This window comes from Homo sapiens, chromosome 5, assembly GCF_000001405.40.
Source record: "Homo sapiens chromosome 5, GRCh38.p14 Primary Assembly".
NCBI classification, from domain to species: domain Eukaryota; kingdom Metazoa; phylum Chordata; class Mammalia; order Primates; family Hominidae; genus Homo; species Homo sapiens.
Genome location: NC_000005.10, coordinates 148,112,683 through 148,131,862, shown reverse-complemented (window position 1 = coordinate 148,131,862; position 19,180 = coordinate 148,112,683). Strand labels below are relative to the sequence as shown.

Genomic DNA, 19,180 nt, shown 5'->3' with positions numbered 1-19,180 from the left:
TCCTTTTGCAAGGTACTACTTCTTTCAAGAGGCAGGGTTAAAGAAATGGGGAATATGTAGCTATATTATAGTCACAGGACCTTTTAGATATAATACACTGGGCTGGGTTATATAGCAGTAGTTCTCTACTGTTTTTCTCCACTACACACAGAATGAATGATGTTCACACTCCCATGACTGTACACAGGATTATACCAATATTCTGCAATTGTAACTCCACTATTTTTTTTCTTTCTCTTCTTCTCAGTAGAGCATATAACAATGTAGGTAAGCAATTTACCAAAGGAATAGCCTTAAATCTTTTCTATTTTACATATAAGAAAGATAATTCACAAATTTTGAATTTTTAACTTCTATGATGAATAAATTACTTGCAACACATTTCGAATTTATATCAGTGCATTACTATGGGTTAACACTCTAGCTGAGAAATTCTAAACTGGAAGATATGATGGGGCAACTTGAATACTTACAGGTTTTCATGACAGAGCATGCAAGGATTGTTGTAGGTTTGGCCATCGTCACCACAGACAGGCTTTAAATCCTTTGGACAAAGATAACCTATCCTGGGCAATACTCGGTAGTCTTTGCACATCTCAGAATCCTGAAGAAGCAAAAAATAAAGCAGACGTACTTTATGGCATTCAAGAAGAGGGGTGGGCTTAAGAAAACCTCTTGAGTTCCTTAATCCAACTTGAATAAATGGTTGTAAAAGGAGTGTGATATATGTTATTCAAACTCAAAGATTGATTTTGCACCATATGAGGTGGATTTAACTTCCTGTATTTGGCAATTTTTAACTTGACAAGGTAAGTAAACAAAGAAACAAGGAGTAGCAAAGCAATAAGAAAGCAAATATCCTTTATAATATGTGACACAATTACCTGCCCATAAGAAGAAATCTAGAATGATAGGCATGCCAGAAATAATATTCGCCTTTTTAAGTGAAGGTATTGGTTATATACAGCCTAGAAAGGAAAGACTCAGAGGTAAATACTCATAAATTGCATGAGTTTTTGAGTCCTAGCTCTACCACTAACTAGAGAAGTAACTTATCTAACTTTTCTCAGCCTTAATTTTCTCACCAGAAAATCATAAATAATAGTAGTCCTTACTTTATATTACTGCTTGAAGGGATTAAAACAGATAATGCATGTAAGTTCATGCTTAACGCAGTATCTGTCACATACTAAGTGTTCAGTAAATTTTAGTTGTTAGTATGTTTTCCACGGTAAAAAACATATGTATATTTTCCATGTAAAAGAAGAAACATATTTGCTCTTCGTAGTGTTTTGGAAGTATGAGTTTAATAATTAATGATAATTCCAAGACCTTGATTAGTTTTTTAAAAAGGCAAAAAGTAGAGCCAAAATATAAAAAAAGTATTCAAAAGCAAATAGGATGATGGAAGACTTAAATCCAATGGTATCAGTAATTACATAGAATATTAAGAAGTAAGTACTCCAGTTAAAAGACAGAAATTATCCAACTGGAAGAACAAAAAGAATCAACTATATAATATTTATAAGAAATATATTTATAAGTAAAAGGATGAGTTCTAAATAACTCATGACTCAAAGTAATCATAGAATTTAGAAATGAAATGAATCACAAAGAAAATACAACCTATCAAATCCCAGCAGCCAAAGCAGTAATTTGGGGGAAAATTATAACTTTAATACATATATTAGAAAAGAAAGAGGTTCTAAAATGGATGATCTAAACTTTCATCTGAAGGAGCTAGCCAATGATGAGCATAGAAAATTTTTTAAAATAAGTAATAAAGAGGAGAAATTGATGAAATAGAAAATAGAACAAAGCCAAAAGTTAGCTGCTTGAAAAGAATAAGTTGATAAGCTATTTGCAAAATTGACCAGAGTCAAGAAAACATATATTACCAATATTAGAGATAACAGGTCATCACTATATGAGCTGTAGATACTAAAAGAATAATTTAGAAATGTTATAAATAACTACATGCCAAAAAATTTGACAACATAGATGAAATTAATAAATTCCTTGAAAACTACTTACTGAAAACAGATACAAAGACGACATAGAAAATTTAATAGTATTATATCTGCTAATACTCATTTTGGAGGAGTCAAGCAGTATTTGTGTACTTGTTCCTTTGTTTTGATAAATGATTCAAACACCTAAATGAATTGCTTTAGATTGTGGTGAGTTCCATATTGGTACAAATATTCACAGAGAATTTAGATAAGTAACTTATATGAAACCCTGGCAAAGGTTAGACTCAACCAGGTATATCAATTGTATTTTTTCAGGTAACTGGTGCTATAATGTTCAAAAGGTACTACAATGTTCCTTACTCTCTCTCTCTCTTCATTTTTTTAACATAGTACATCAACTCAAAAAATTCTGTTGACTCCACCTTCAAAACAGACCCAGTATCTTACCACCTCTCAAGAGCTCCACCACTACTAACATGGTATAAACCAGCATCATCTCTTCTGTAGACAACTGCAATAGCTAACTAGCTGTCCAGCCCTTGCCTCCCTGCAGTGTTTTCAATAGGTATCAGGCAAAGTTATTCCTTTAAAACATAAATCAAATCATATTAGTCTTCTCAGAACCTTCATTCAGAATATTAGGCAAAGTCTTTAAAATTGTCTACAAAACCCTTTATAACATGGCCTCCCATTAGCTTCCTGACTTCCTCTTCTACAGCTGAGGTAGCTCTATTTCAACAACACTAAACGCTTTGCTATGTTTTCTCTCTGGAATATGTTCTCCTCAGATATACCTACAGAATCAATACCCTTAGGTCTTGATGTAAATGTCACCTTCTGAGAGAGTTATTCTCTGTATATGTCACTTAAAATTGTATCCCCTCCCCTCCCCATCTCAGAATTTACTGTACCATTTTTTTCTGCCTTATTTCCTCCTTGGCATTATTTTTTCATTTATTCATATTATTTATTGTATCTGCTTTTCCAATATACTATGAACTTCATGTAGTGAGCGCTATCTGTTTTGTTTATGGCTATTAACCTAGCATACGTAAATAATGCCTGGAGGCCGGGCGCGGTGGCTCACGCCTATAATCCCAGCACTTTGGGAGGCCGAGGCGGGCGGATCACGAGGTCAGGAGATCGAGACCATCCTGGCTAACACAGTGAAACCCCGTCTCTACTAAAAATACAAAAAATTAGCGTGGTGGCGGGCACCTGTAGTCCCAGCTACTCGGGAGGCTGAGGCAGGAGAATGGCGTGAACTGCGGAGGCGGAGCTTGCAGTGAGCCGAGATCGCGCCACTGCACTCCGGCCTGGGCGAAAGAGCAAGACTCCCTCTCAGAAAATAAATAAATAAATAAATAAGTAAATAAATAATGCCTGGAAAAATAGCAGGTGCTCAGTAAGTATTTGTAGACTGACAAAAGGACTGCCGGCTTGATGAAAAAAATGAATAATGAAAGATTTATTTCTCCAAAAGAAATAGCTCCAAAGCAGACTGTAGCTTATGAGGGAGAATGAGGGGGCTACTGGTCTGCTGATGATATCTTATTTCTTGCTGCTATCACAGGTATGATCACTTTGTGATATTTCATTTAGCTATTTACTTGCATATGTACATTTCTTCTATGTAACTATTATACTTTAGTATTTAAAAAAAAAAACATATTTTGTTAATAGCTCTTCTCCATGCCTTCGGATCCCTGATGTGGAGCTCAATTTACCAGAAATATGTAATTAATGCATATTTCATGTATGTAACTCATCTATTACCCTAGTTGAATTGGGTGAATAATGAAGTAAAATTCATGTTTGATACCTTTCTTTCTCCTTTTCTGGGTCATCAGCCTAGGTGCTAAAATCTTCCTTTTAGGGCCCAATCTGAGAATCTGCTTGATGTTCTCATATCCTCTTTGCTCCTTTCTACTCCTCATCTTGTGAAGGCTCTACAAAGTAAATCTTATCATGCTAATGTAGACTAATACTTACATTACTGGTGACCATCAGCTACGAGAGAGAGGAAGAGAGAAGGGTGGGGTCCTGTTCTGTCACCCAGGCTGGAGTGCAGTGGCACTATCACGGCTCATGGTAGCCTCGACCACCTGGGCTCAAGCCATCCTTCCACCTCAGCCTCCCAAGTAGCTGGAACTACAGGCACAAGGCACCATGCCCAGCTAATTTTTTTTTTTGTAAGTTTTCTAGAGACAGAGTTTCACCATGTTGCCCACAGTGGTCTCAAACTCCTGGGGCCAAGGGATCTGCCCGCTTGGCCTCCCACAGTGCTGGGGTTATAGTCATGAGCCACCGCACCCAGCTCAGCCTATATTTTAAACAAGAAGCTTTAGCTACTGCGAATTGCTAATTGGCGGAAATTTATACCTGTGAGCATGCTTGGCATAGAGTTCCAGGATGTAGAAACAGATTTGGTTGGAGGAGGGAAATAAGCGGAAGCTAGGTGAGGAAGCTAAGAATACCAAGAGGTATGCTAAAATTACAGAATTGAGGCACCTGACTATGTATTTTACCATATGTGAAATTAGTCACAATTATTCCACACACACATTGTAAATTTCAAAATGTACTAAATTGAAGCAGGGCAAATAATCTCAAAGGGCACAGGATAAGGCACTAATGAGAAATCCCAGAACTCTCACCAAGCATAAACTGCATATAGTCCTCAAAGGACTTCAGGCTGCACTGAATCAGCAAACCTCAGACCCTTCTATGAAAATAGCAAATAGCAACAGGTCAAAAAAAATCAAGAAAATTAAATTGATAAGTAGCTTTTCAGAAATAGTCCTCCTTACCAGAGAACTGAAAGAGTCTGGGCTGTCTTCCTCTTGAGAAGCTCTAACATGGGATGGCTTTTCTTGAAGCTTTGCCCTTTCCAAAGCTTCTGTTAGACTAGAGAAGAAAATAAAAAATAATTTAAAATAAGAAACAGTTCCTATAACTTCCAGTGAGAAGTTAAGCAATCCTCATAAAATGTGACAGAGGCCAGGCATGGTAGTTCACGCCTGTAACCCCAGCATTTTGGAAGGCCCAGGCTGGCGAATCACCTGAGGTCAGGAGTTGGAGACCAGCCTGGCCAACATGGTGAAACTCCATCTCTACTAAAAATACAAAAATTAGCTGGGCATGGTGGTGCACACCTATCATCCCAGCTACTCGAAAGGCTGAGGCAGGAGAATCTCTTGAACCCAGGAGGCAGAGGTTGCAGTGAACTGAGATCGCACCATTGCACTCCAACCTGGGCAACAGAGTGAGACTCTGTCTCAATAAATAAATAAATAAATAAATAAATAAATAAATAAAACAGAATCACAGAACATTGAGATAGTGACCAGGATGACATATTAAGAAAAGTACACAATTAGGAGCTGGTTTAGAACTTTCATCACTTAACAGATGACAAGTGGGTTAATGTTCTGAAGTTTTGATTTTCTAGAACATAAAATGGGAGTAGTATTTGGTAATTCCCCCTCAAAGAACACTCACTATGAAAAGCTAAAGAAATTTGATTATTGTTGTGTTCACAGTGTGCTTTACAACCATCATCATCATCATCATCATCATCATTTATAATGTCCATTGGTCTCCATTTCTATTTGCTTTTTAGAATAACCTAGAAACTCTTTCTAAAAAACAAATTCCATAGCCCCAAGATTCTGATATAATATATTTTGGGGTGTAAAAATTTGTATTTATTTTTAAAGGCATCTCAATTGAGTCTGATCTAGTTGTGGAATAAAGATCTTGAAGAATTTCTTCTAATTATGATGCTGAAAGTTGAAAACAAATTGTTTAATGACACAGCTAGTATACATCTTGGTTAGAACTTACATACGGAATTTTTGTCTCCAAGTCTCAGTGTTCTTTCTACTATATCAGGTGTTCTCAATTTGAGGGCTTTAATTCTAAAGACTTATTTTTAAAATCCCATGGGGTTCATAAATATACAAACTTATTCAAGCAGCAGTTTCTAAAAATGCAGTTCCCCTGCTAGCTACAGGGGGAGCAGAATCCTCTTACTCACAAGACAGCTCTGCACATGTAGCACTTGTTTGTATAGAACTTTCCATCAGCACCGTGCACTGGGTCATTCTCTCTAGGGCAGATGAGTTCATTGTTCCTTATATAGTTTCGAAATTCACTGCACTCATCCTAGAAAATGAGAAAGGGAAAGTGAACATGGCTTTGTCCCTTTTTGGCTTAGTGATTTCTTCAAACTTGGTTTTAGGAAGTCCTCTCTTAGCTCTGGGCTCAGACTCACTGTACTCATCCTGGCAACAGAGGCCAAGGAACGCCCAGGTTGTCTAAATTTTGCATCCTCCGCTTCATTCTGAACCTGTCTGCACTGGTCCTGAAAAATGTAGGGAAACATAAAACAACACTTGATAGACCTTCCTGTTTTTTTCTCCCGTTCATCCATCCTTCCTTTCCCCATTTTCCCCATGAAGCATGCTTTTGACAAAAGGACAATTGCTCAGGGATCTAACTCTACAAATGTGATTGTTACTGTTAAAGAATTGAATAAAGATGTCTTCTTTGTAGTCTTGAAAAATAAATAGAAAAGAAAGCATCACGCATGCACACTGCTGATTCTTTAATGCTGATAGAATCATCTGGTGAAAACAGAAGGGAAGCTAAAAGGGAGACTTAGATTGGTTTATATTGCCTGAATTATTAAAATAAACATCAGCAAGCTACCCAAAGCCTTGTTTCACACTTAAAGTGTCAAAGATAAGCATGCAGTTGAGTTGGTAAAGAATGTTACCCTCTACTTTTCAATCCATATTTCTCCCAAGGAGGAAAGACTAAAACAATAATAGACACACACTCTCAGAGAATTTTCTACAAAATCAAAAAAGGTATCAAACCCCCAAACCCCCAAAAATCTTGTTATGATACAAAGTGACAAGACAAGAAAAATCAATTTTCTTTGAAGTTAAGATATTAATATATTTATTATTCCCAAAGCTGGAGAAGAATGCAAAATTCTGAAGGTGAAAAGTAAAATGGTTATTTTGGTATCCTTTAATAAATAACCTTTGCATTATTTGAGGGCTTGCTACTTGATTTCTCTTCATCTTTCTTTTTTCTTTCATTAGCTTCTCGATCACTGCAGAATAATTAAAAAAAAAGATAGGGTAATTTTTCAAGGGTTGTTACTGAATTGTCTTTAACCAAGTATTTCTGCGATTCTAAACATTAGCAAATCTAACACTGTTTTCTTATACCTAAAAAAAAATCTAAGAATATTTTTATAAGCTAATCAGTTCTGATTGTTGGAATTTTCATGATAATATATTTGTGGCAATGCTATCAACTTTCATAGATGCTGTTACTATACTCTTATCCAGAAAAATATGATCCTAAAAGGTCTTTATTTTTCCTTAATATAATAGACTTAAGACTCTCATCTAGAAAGTTGCTATAATTCTCATTTTTACTTTTCCAATTAAATTATAACCAAACTCACAATATTGATTGTTATTTACATAGGTATAATGCTTTGAAGTTCATAAACATTTTTAAAATGTCCTTGAATGTTATTTACGTAGGTATAATGCTTTGAAGTTCATAAACATTTTTAAAATGTCCTTGAATCTCCACAAAACTATATTGTTCAGTCATTTTTCCCTCAGGAGGAACTGAGGCTCTGCACAATGAACTGGCCTGTCCCAGGTTACCTAGCTGATAAGCTACCTCTTCCTACCCCAGAGGTTCTGGGTATGATTATGCTTTTCAACATCAAAATAAAAAAATTATTGTGAAAGTGCTTTGGAAATTGTCTCTTCAAAAGAGAGGAGGTATCATATCATTAATGTGTGATGCCAAGTATCTTAGGTTTTAAAAGTAACAAAAACTAATTTCTAGCAAACAGGCACAACTATCAAATTTATTGATAAACCTTTTTACGTACAAGATGCTCTGACACATAGCACATTTATTGATGTGCATCTTGCCATATGGGCCTCGAACAGGGTTATTTTCTCTGGTGCAGATAAGCTTTCCATTTCTCTGCATGCTTCGAAATTCACGACACAGATCCTACCAACAGTAGCAGAAAAAGTTGTTACTGTCATGGTATAATCTTTCAAACCTGATAACATGATTGACCGATTAGATATAAACTCATAACACAGGAAAAAAACAGAGAAGTGAAATTTCAGAGAAGAAATATGTTTTAAAGGCACTTTATTCAATCTCTACCTAAGAAGTTTGAATCTTCTCCATTGCATCTCTATCAAATGATTGTCTTGCCCTAATGGAATTTCACTAAAGCAGCCCATTCCTTTAAAAACTATATATATATATATTGCAAGCAAGATTATATATATATATATATATATATATATATACACATATATTGCACCACTGCACTCCAGGCTGGACAACAGAACAAGATTACATATATATAACAAGATTATATATATAGATAGATAGATAATATATATCTATATATATAATATATTATATCTATCTATATATATATATAATCTTGTTATGTATATAATATAATCTTGTTATATATATATAATCTTGTTCTGTTGTCCAGCCTGGAGTGCAGTGGTGCAATCATAGCTCATTGCAGCCTCCAACTCCTGGGCTCAAGCAACACTCCCACCTCAGTCTGCTAAGTAGCTAGAACTACAGGCATGTGCCACCATGCCTGGCTAATATTTTAAAATTTTTTGTAGAGACGGGAGTCTCTCTGTGTTGCCTGGGCTGATCTTAAACTCTTGGCCTCAAGTGATCCTCTCGCATTGGCCTCCCAAAGCACTGAGATTACAGGCATGAGCCCCCAGTGCCCTGTCCCATCTCATTTTAATACCATTTTCTATGAGGCAGAGCCCCAAACCTGTCTCCCTATGAGTGCACTCAGTATTCCACACATAAGTCTACTTCAAAAGCCCTGGAATGAACTAAACGACACTCTTCTGGCAAAACATAAAAACACGTAAACTTTCAGCTTCATTTCTCAACCACAATTTACCAAAAAAAAAAAAAAAAAAATTATTGTGCGAGGTGCTTTATCGTGTGGTTTAATAGATTTCCTTTAGTGGTTGTAAAAATCTTATAAGATAAATACGCATCATCCCCATTCTACAGATGAGAAAAATAAATCTCAGAGCTATTAAATAAAGTCAGTGTTGAATTTGTGATCAGAAACCTGCTAACCACCAGGTTATACCTTTTTACTTATTTGCTTTTACAAGTCAGAGAATAAAACTCCTATGTGTGGATAAGTATATGGAGCTGCCTTTTGTGTTCATTGAAACATAATGATCATAAAAAGAAGCCAATAGAACCGAGTCTACAGATAGGATCTAGAATGTACTAAAATCTTCAGAGAGCTACAGAAGTCTCTGGAACTTCCTGTAAGCCCAAAGAGCCAAAGTGGTGATATGGAAACATTACCTTAAAAAATAACACAGTAACCTAGATTGTACTTACCCTTCTTTCTTTAAATTGTGATGTCCGTAAACAAACAATTCCAGGCCTTACTTTTAATTGCAGCATTTTAAAAAATTCTCTGGAATTAAATACCTATCAACATATTAAATGTCTCACAACCACCATTTTCACAAATTACTGGAAGTATTTTCTTTTCCAGGTGCTCACAATACCACATATTTTTATAATAGCACTCCTCTGACTGTATTGCAACCCTCCAATTCAGTCTTTGGCTCTTCTATTCATTAATTATGTGTAGTTCACTTCTCTTAAGTTTTCCTGAATTCTAAAAAATTGGAACAATATCACCACTGAATAGATTTTGGGGAGGTTTAAATATAATTATTGGTAAACCTTATTTAACGTTGCATGTGTAGATAAAACGGTAGTTCTCTATTTGACACACACACACACACACACACACTCACACACAATCTCAATATTTTTATTTTTTTTTTAAGACAAGTTCTTACTCTGTTGCCCAGGCTGGAGTGCAATAATGCTATCATAGCTCACTGCTGCCTTGAATTCATGGGCTCAAGTGATCCTCTCACCTTAACCTCCCAAGTAGCTAGAGTTACAGGTGTGCACCATCATGCCTGGCTATTTTTTTTTTAATTATTATTATTTTGTAGAGACAGGGTCTCACTATGTTGCCCAGGCTGGTTTTGAACTCCTGGGCTCAAGCAATTCTCTTGCTCTGGTCTCCCAAAACACTGGGATTAAAAGAGTGAGTTACCACACCCTGCCTCCATATTTTCTTTATTTTTTTTTTACTCAGTATTTTCTATATATAAATATATATAGCATTTTTCTGTTCAAAATTTTTTAAATAAGGATCATAAAATTAAAAATTTACCAAGATTTTAAATAGATGTCCTTTAGAGATCATGTGAAGTTGTGCAATAAGGTTATTTTCTCAAAGCCATTTCATCTACCGTAACACACAACAGATATTCCCAAAATATTTTTAAATAATGATAATTACTAATAAGGTTTCATTTTCTTTAGCCACTACAGGCTTAATGAAAAGTTGCCCTACTAATAGGAAAAATCTTCCCAGGGAAATTTCGCTATTTATCTTTTCTAATTGGAGTCCGTCGGTGCATTAAAAGATTGTGCTGTGTAATATTCTACGTGTTGGTGTTGTAGTGTTGAATACTATTTATAAGGACCAAAACTGAACACTAGGTGGCAATGAAATGCCAGATCAAGAATTTATTATCTCAAACTCCAACTTTTCTTCTTTTTCTTTTCCTTTTTTTTTTTTTTTTTTTTTTTTGAGACAGAGTCTTGCTCTGTCGCCCAGGCTGGTGTGCAGTGGCGCTATCTCAGCTCACTGCAAGCTCGCCTCCCAGGTTCACGCCATTCTCCTGCCTCAGCCTCCTAAGTAGCTGGGACTATAGGCGCCCGCCATCGTGCCCGGCTAATTTTTTTGTACTTTTAGTAGAGACGGGGTTTCACCGTGCTAGCCAGGATGGTCTCGATTTCCTGACCTCGTGATCTGCCCGCCTCAGCTTCTCAAAGTGCTGGGATTATAGGCCTGAGCCACCGTGCCTGGCCTCAAACTCCAAATTTTTGATACTGATTTTCTTTGTAATTTTTGGCATCTGATTGCTTGATATTTATTTGTTTAAAAAATTCAGAAACAGCAGAGTGCGATGGCTCATGTAATCCCAGCACTTTGGGAGGCTGAGACTTGAGCTCCGGCAAATTGCTTGAGCTCAGGAGTTCGAGACCATCCTGAGCAACAGCAAGACCCTGTCTCAAAGGAAAGAAAAAATTCAAAAATGAAATTCACTGGCTAACTACAATAATTTGACAGTTGTCACTGGTTCTACAATTGCATCAGAGTCACTCCTGGGGAACTGAAGAGCATGCTATTTATTTTCAAGATCTGGCCATGACTTCATTGTTTACCGTTATATCACCAATGATTGGGACAGAGTCAGCATTTCACAAATATTTGTTGAATAAATATACCATACAATGAACTAACTGAATTCAGGTATTAGCGTGTCTAACATCTATTACCTCTTTGTCATTGCTCCTTTCTCCTGTATTGCTCCTTTCTCCTGTATTGCTCCTGTCTTCATCCTCTTTCTTTTTTTTTTCAGCTGCTTCCCTTTCCCTGGGGGGAAAACAATGAAACATTTCAATCAAAGTGAACAAACGCCTCATTAATTACCAGATCTGCTTCTAAAACAATTGTCATTTTCCCAAACTGGTAAGAAATGATTATTGTACTTTAAGACTCACAGTCAAAAGCTCATTTTGAAACATACTCACAGTTTTTCCTTACACATAGTACACTTATTGCCATGTGTCTTGCCATCTGGACCCCGGACAGGGTCACTTTCTCGAGTGCAGATGAGTTTTCCATTTTTCATTTGGCTTCTAAACTCATCACATGTATCCTGAAAAGATGGGAAGATTATATTGGAAGTGCTGTTTTTACATAATATTTGATTGGATTTGAGAATCAGAGGATTTCTTTCCAAGAGTCAGGCAGCCATGTAACCTTGCTGTGATAGGCAAAATAATGTCCCACAGAGAGAGACGTCTATGTTCTAATTCCTGGAACCTCCAAATATGTTGCTTTACGTGGCAAGGAGGAATTATGGTTGAATATGGAATTAAGATTGCTAATCAGTTGAATTTAAAATGGGGAAGTTACCCTGGATTATCCAAGTGGGGCCCATGTAATCACAAAGGTTCTTACTCATTAAAGAGAGAGGCAGCGGCAGGACAGTCAGTGTGAGAATGATAAAGCATAAGAAGGACTTGACTGGCCATCACTGGCTTAAGGGTGGCCACAAGCCAAGGAATACAGGTAGCTTCTAGAAGTTAGAGAAAGCAAAGAAACAGATCCTCACCTAGAGCCTCCACAAAGGAATGCGGCATTACCAACATCTTGGTTTTATCACAATCAGACCATTTAAAACTTATGGAATCCAGAAATATAAGATAATAAATGTGTGTTATTTTACGCATCTGCTTATAGTAACTTACACTAGCAGCAAAATAATGCAAAAACAAAAATAAATCCCAGTATACTTGCAAAACCTCATTTTCCCTATCTACGAAATAAGGTTAAAAGGCCAAATTTGACCAGGCTGTTGAAATAATTAAATAAACTGTAATTTATAAAAATGCCTTGTAAAGTGTCAGACTTAAAGATGTCCACTTGGCATTAGGTTTCTTCACTGAACAAGTTATCAGTGAGAGTCACTGATAACTTGGTAACTCCTGACCTTCTAAGGGCAAGCTCTAGCTTGATCATGTTGACACCTTCTTCTATAGTTTTGATCGCCAACTGCTGACTCACAGAAAGACGATTCTTGCCAAAACCCAAAAAATAACTCACCTTCCCTGATTCTGATCCAGTCCCATTTGATCTGGAGCGAGAATACTCATTTTTTCTCTCTGCTTCTCTTTCCCTGGAGGAGAAAAAAGTGAATATTCATCTTGTTAACAAATATTGACCCTGGATTATGCACTAAGTGTGTCCCGTGCAAATGACAAGAAGTCAGCTTTCTTCAACTGTGCTGGTCAATGATTCCAAATGGCCGTGACAAAGTCTTCCTAGGATTCTGGCACAATAAAGAACAAGGGTCTATCATGATAGCACTTAGAGTTCACAGAATTGTAATAGAAAATACAATAGAAATCAGCCACTTGGTTAGCTGCCCTTGCTAAGGCTCATTGTTCCTTAGAGAACGCAAGAGAAAAAAATAGAATATTTGGAAATTAGCAAAAAGAATAATTTGCATGGAAGGAGCCATAGCAAATGAGAAATAGCCATTCATTCAAGAGGAATGTGACTATATTTTAGACATGCCTGTTGAGAGAAATACTTACAATTTTGCTTTACACATGGTACACTGATTGTTGTACGATTTGCCATCAGCATCACGTACAGGATCACTCTCCCGAGTACAGCTGAGTCTTCCATTTTTCATTTGTTCCCGATACTCAGCACATTCGTCCTGAAAACAGAGAAGAACGAAGAGCCCCTGGATTACTTAGTCTACTGTATTCTTAGTAAATTGTTTTAACAGTCTGAGTAAGAGAAGTTCTTTCACCTCTCTTTATAAGAAACATAACATTGCCGGGTACGGTGGCTCATGCCTGTAATCCCAGCACTTTGGGAGGCCAAGATGGGTGGATCATGAGGTCAGGAGTTCAAGACCAGCCTGGACAGCATGGTGAAACACTGTCTCTACTAAAAATACAAAAATTAGCTGGGCATGGTGGCGGGTGCCTGTAATCCCAGCTACTTGGGAGGCTGAGGCAGGAGAATCGTTTGAACCCAGGAGGCAGAAGTTGCGGTGAGCCAAGATTGCTCCATTGCACTCCAGCCTGGGTGACAGGGTGAGACTCCATCTCAAACAAACAAACAAACAAAAAAACCCCTAACATCTAGGTCTGGCATCTGCAGAGAAAAGGGGACCAGAATCACCCATGTTGTAATTATAAGAGATGAGTTGTCATGGCTACTAATGTTGCTTTTAAGGATCTACACAAGGAAATTATAAATATGACTGAATTTAATAGCATATATTAAATGTCAGCAAACTACAGTTTCCCCTTGGTACACTTGGGGGATTGGTTCCAGGATCAAAATCCATGTATACTGAAGTCTGTCAGTTGGCCCTGTACAACTCACCTATACAAAAAGTTAGCCCTCCATATATGCAGGTTTCACATCCCACAAATCCTGTATTTTTTATCTAAGTTTGGTTGAAAAAAAATTAAGTACAAGTGGACCTGGGAAATTCAAACCCATGTTGTTCAAGGTTCAATTGTATAGCCCACAGGGAAGATCTTTCCTGCTTCCTGTTCTTACACATAAAGTTTTACTGAAACACATCCTCACTCATTTATTCAGATATTATTTTTTTGCTTCTTTCCCACAACAATGGCAGAGTAAAATAGTTGCAGCAGACATCATATGACCCACAAAGCCCACATTGCTTAAAATATTTAGCTGGCCTTATACAGAAAAAAATGTGCAGGTCTCTAGTGCAGATAGAAGAGAGAGAAAAATGCTGGAGGAAAACCCAAAGTTATGCAAAATGTCAAGGAAGGTAGGTTTGACCAAGTTATGAACAAGACACACAAAATGTCTATCAGACAATTCTAATCAACAGGGCTATTCCTTAAAAGGGAGAACTCAGCCTCCTAAAGCAAAAAAGATGGGAAAAAAACAGAATAGCCAGAGTTTATCAAAGGTAAATATTGGGCCTTTGTCAGATCTGGAAGTGAAGACATGGTTTTGATATTCCAAGGTTGTAAAAAGATAAATAAGGCGACTGCAATTTTATGAAACTGTGTTCAGAGACCCAAGGAGTGACCTTATGTGCAACATTGCCATGCTGACACTTAAAAATGCCTCAAGAAACATGCTAAACCTTTGCCTAAATTATTTTCTTTTATCCCTGGAAGAGTACTGCTAAATCAGGGAAAGTAGAATTCAGTGAGAGGAAGTAATTTACTCAATGTCTCACAAGTCCAGGTAGTAGGAGCAGAATCATAACCCAATCTGACTCCAAAGCCTGTGCTCTTTTGTCCTATCATGCTGCCTTGGATCAACAGAAAAGACACCTAAAAAAAGTGGCTCTGTCCAAGGCAAGAAAGAATAATGAAAGAAAATGAAGAGCATGTGATACTGATGAGAACGATTATTGATATGAGGTCTAGATTACCATAAAGAGGGCTCAGGAGACTGGGATAAGGTCATTACATATTGTTAATTATTTCAAGGTGTAAAGAAATCCAAATGAACCCCAGAGCAGTGAAAATGTGCTGATATCTTACCCTGCAACCTTAAGGAGAAACTTCTCTGTTCTCTCAAGGACTTAGCACTGCCTTTACCATAGACTATATACGCTATTCACAGTCCTATTGTCAAGGAGTTGAGCCCGCCCCAGTTACTGAAATTAGAGGTTGCTCTCACCTGAGTGTTTCCTCCTCCACCACCACTGGAACCATGTCCTGCAGCATTTCTCTGATCTTCCTCTTCTTTCCTCTTTCTTTCCTCATTTTCTTTCTGGCTGGAAATTAGAAAGTGGGAGGTAGGGAACAATAGATTACAGAGAGTGGTGTGCATTTCTTTGAGTTTCTCATTATATGAACAAATCACATATGTACAGAATTATCGAGCATTGAGTTAACATCTACTATGCTGCAGGCCTTCTCTAAAAATAAAAATATAAATTATATGGAGTCCTTTGCCAGGAAGGGTCTCATTAAAATAAAAGAACACCACATATATATCACCATAAACAAGACAAGGTGAGTAAAGCTGGGTGTGTTGGTTTGCACCTGTAATCTCAGCACTTTGGAAGGCTGAGGTGAGTGGATCCCTGAGGTCAGGAGTTCGAGACCAGTCTGGCCAACATGGCAAAACACTGTCTCTACTAAAAATACAAGAATTAGCCAGGCGTGGTGGTACATGCCTGTAACCCCAGCTACTAGGGAGGCTGGGGCAGGAGAATCACTTGAACCCAGGAGGCAGAAGTTACAGTGAGCTGAGATCACACCACTGCACTTCAGTGTGGACGACAGAGTGGGACTCCATAAGAAAAAAAAAAAAAAAAGACAAGGTGAGCAATTAACTAACACTTCATAAATGTTCACTGGGGATCTCCAGCTGTGTTTATCGCCAATACCTAATGTTCAAGAGGCCCCAAAATCATTATCTTCTCTACCAAATGTATTCTTTCTCCTGGATTTTCTACCTTTCACAAAAAAACAAACACAAAACAGTGGAATCATCTCTAATTGCTTACTGTCCTTCAGCTTGCATAGCTGTCACCACATGACATTGACTTCACCTTCACAGCATCCCCCACCTTGATCCACTCGCCTTCTAGCCTACCTCCTTGCTCTGCGTAGCTGCCTCTTCCTGGGTTATTTATTGCAGCTCCTCCCTCTACATGAGTAGCAATTCTTAAGTTTAGTACTTTCTTTCTCTTTTTCTCCTGTTTACTGCTAACAAATGAATCTTCCTAAAGGAACAATATTTATGCCACTTACTGTCCTATCTGAACAACTTTTGCAGCTTCCCATTACATGTAGAATTGACCTCGAAATCTCTGGTGTGCATTCAAGGTTGATAAAGTTGGTAAGTTCTGACTAAACTAAATGACTTGTTTTTTTCCTAATTTTAGATCCTTACTCTTGCTGTTCCCTTCTTCTCCTCTCATTACTTTCTGTCATGTCCACATTTTATCCAAATTATAAGGTCTAGTTTTATCCCACCATAAAACTTTCTATTAATTATCCCTTTCTTGAAGTACTGTAACATACCACAGACAAATTTTTCATTCAACAGTCCCTCCTTTGTATTATATTACCTTACGTCTGTGACTAATATCAGTGGACTATATGATTTCTGAGAAGATTATCTATTTCATTCACCTTTGTATAATCATTATACACATTATACACATTGTACATTGTAGATGTTTGGTAAATGCTATTGAAGGACTTAAATATTCTAGGTGTACTTCCAAACTTTGTGTAAAGACCTACTTTTCATTTTCTGAAAATGTGTTATTTTCAACAATGTAGGTAAGGACTTTGACATTAAAATCTGTGTGTTTTCTTTCCAACATGAGTTGCGAGATAATCCAGAGAAAGGATCCACTTGATAGCAAATAACTTAAGAATTTTATCAAGGAAGTGTGATCTACTGGCAGGGTCTACCCCAGAACTAACAGAGAATGTAATAGCTTAGTTGTATTTATTTTATTTCTAGAACTGTGAATCTTGGCCATTATAAAGAAAAGATTTATTTCAAATGCTTTACAGATAACCTTCTGTTTCTATTACATGTAAGGAAAGGACAAACACAATACATATTATTTGCCTGGCTCATTGCTTCCCCAATTCCACCATCCCACAGTAGTGGTTTTCTTTGTGCACTCACAAGACTGCCTTACACATGGCACACTTGTTGCCATGGGTCTTGCCATCTGGGCCACGCACAGGATCATTTTCTCTTGTGCAGAAAAGTTTTCCATTTTGCAAAAGTCTCCGAAATTCATCGCATGTCTCCTAAAAGGAAAAGAAAAGGAGAAAGCTTGAGTATCTTCTGGGAAATTAGTTTACTGGGTTCCTACTAAGTGCTTTATAGAAAAAAAAAAAAGAGAGAGAAAATGACCTGAGAATTTTTTTTCTGGCAGTTATAGTGTTCAATTTATATTAAACACAAAGGACTTAAGAAGGTGGCTGTATTTCTTTTTCCTTGATAGCCCCAAAATCCAGACTAAACCTGCAACCATACACAAGACTCTCAATAAACTTAGTTCTCTGATGACTGGGCACACTCCTTGTTTAGGGTTACGTGAGAAATTGAGACAGAATAAGCAATCACTGAAGTTCAAAGAGTTAATTACAAATGGCAATTACAATTGATTTTGTATTTTATTCTGAATTCTTTAGTTCAAGTTGAAATTCAATGAGGATGAAAGAGGGAATTTTTCTCCTAGCTCTGCTTAAAGGTTCATTGCCAGATCCCCTAACTAGTTATATTTAGCAAAAGAAAAAATAATGAGAGGAGAGTTTGTCTGTAGTAGTAATGTGAAATCAGAAATTAGCTCATACTGAAGAATTTTCTCTTGTAGATGTTGAAGAGTGAATCTATTTTTCATATGAACTGCTATTATTTTTAAATTTAGAATTATTACAACTGTGCAATACAACTGTAAACAAGCCAAACATACAGAGTTCCAGGGCGATACTTCTTTAGAGGTTATTTTTAATCTCAATAGTCTTTGATGGGGGCAGGGAAATGACCACAACTTGGAATAAACTACTTGGAGCCAGCCTTTTTGAATCCAAGAAAATATTATTTGGGGATGCTACTTTTTAATCTTTTTCCTAAATGCTGGCACCAAAATATAACCACAGGTAAAGCAAGGAACACATGTGTTGACCAAATGTGGTAATCCAAAAACAAATAGTGTACTAGAAAGAAGGCTGGCTGTGGTATCAGGAAGTCTAGGATTGAATTCTATTGTTCCAGAACTTTGAAATATGAAGCTATTGGTACTGATACTCATACTCCCATTAACTTTACATGCAAGTTCTTCTTTTTCTCTGAATTTTAAATCTTAATATTAATATATGGGAACAGAATAAATCAGGGGTTTGCAAACTGTGACCTGTGAGCAACATCTGGCCAGCCGTTTGTTTTTATAAATAAAATTGTATTGGAGTCAGCCATGCCCATATGTTTGTATACAGTCTAGGGCTGTTTTACAGTCACAACAGCCAAGTGGAGTAGTTGTGACAGAGATTCTATGGCCACAAAAACAGAAATATCTGCTATCTGTTCTGTTAAGAAAAAGTTTCTCAACCCCTGGACTAAATGAACCCCTAGTTCCCTCACAACTGGGGTTTCAGTAATTCCATAGTTATTTTTACAGAGATACTGCAAAATCTCATCCTTTCATTGCAGTATAAACATTCAGGATTACTACCTTTTCAGCTTCTCTTTTGACTTTTGCTCTGGGTTCAGCTCTTTCTTTTTCTTTTGCTTCTTGCTGGCTATAAGAAAAGGGAGGACAAAACAATCATTCCTAGCACCCAATACATACTACCCTAAAGGAGAAATGTCTCTACATAAAAATGGTCCATTACTTCTATACCTCCACCAACTTAGCTTTGGAGTGGAAAGGTAAACACACATCTCTCTACATCATTGTTCTTGTCCTTTTGTTTGTTTGTTTTTT

The 19,180-nt window shown here is 37.0% G+C and overlaps 1 protein-coding gene across 6 annotated transcripts in view, besides 1 other annotated feature; it reads right to left on the bottom strand.

The window, feature by feature from the left end:
- The window catches only part of SPINK5 (serine peptidase inhibitor Kazal type 5), a 73,403-nt gene that overhangs the window by 5,520 nt on the left and 48,703 nt on the right, over positions 1–19,180 (bottom strand). For 4 of the 6 annotated variants that reach the window (NM_001127698.2, XM_047416662.1, XM_011537551.3 and 1 more), the window contains 13 exons: positions 18,929–18,995; positions 17,374–17,501; positions 15,397–15,493; positions 13,299–13,426; positions 12,805–12,877; positions 11,727–11,854; positions 11,472–11,568; positions 7,903–8,030; positions 7,026–7,098; positions 6,250–6,339; positions 6,013–6,140; positions 4,784–4,880; positions 474–604 (listed from right to left, as the gene is read on the bottom strand). In NM_001127698.2, coding sequence (NP_001121170.1) covers positions 474–604; positions 4,784–4,880; positions 6,013–6,140; positions 6,250–6,339; positions 7,026–7,098; positions 7,903–8,030; positions 11,472–11,568; positions 11,727–11,854; positions 12,805–12,877; positions 13,299–13,426; positions 15,397–15,493; positions 17,374–17,501; positions 18,929–18,995 — 1,365 coding nt within the window. Of the gene's footprint in view, positions 1–473; positions 605–4,783; positions 4,881–6,012; positions 6,141–6,249; positions 6,340–6,912; positions 7,099–7,902; positions 8,031–11,471; positions 11,569–11,726; positions 11,855–12,804; positions 12,878–13,298; positions 13,427–15,396; positions 15,494–17,373; positions 17,502–18,928; positions 18,996–19,180 lie in introns of those variants that run through there. The other 2 variants (NM_006846.4, NM_001127699.2) reach the window with 2 other exon arrangements.
- Positions 17,183–17,352: an enhancer, noted in NCBI's record as "experimental_81997 CRE fragment used in MPRA reporter constructs". NCBI's record gives its function as "activates a minimal promoter by MPRAs in K562 erythroleukemia cells, with activity observed for both the introgressed and non-introgressed 5:147494159 variant alleles {active_cell/tissue: K562}" and the evidence as "EXISTENCE:reporter gene assay evidence [ECO:0000049][PMID:34662402]".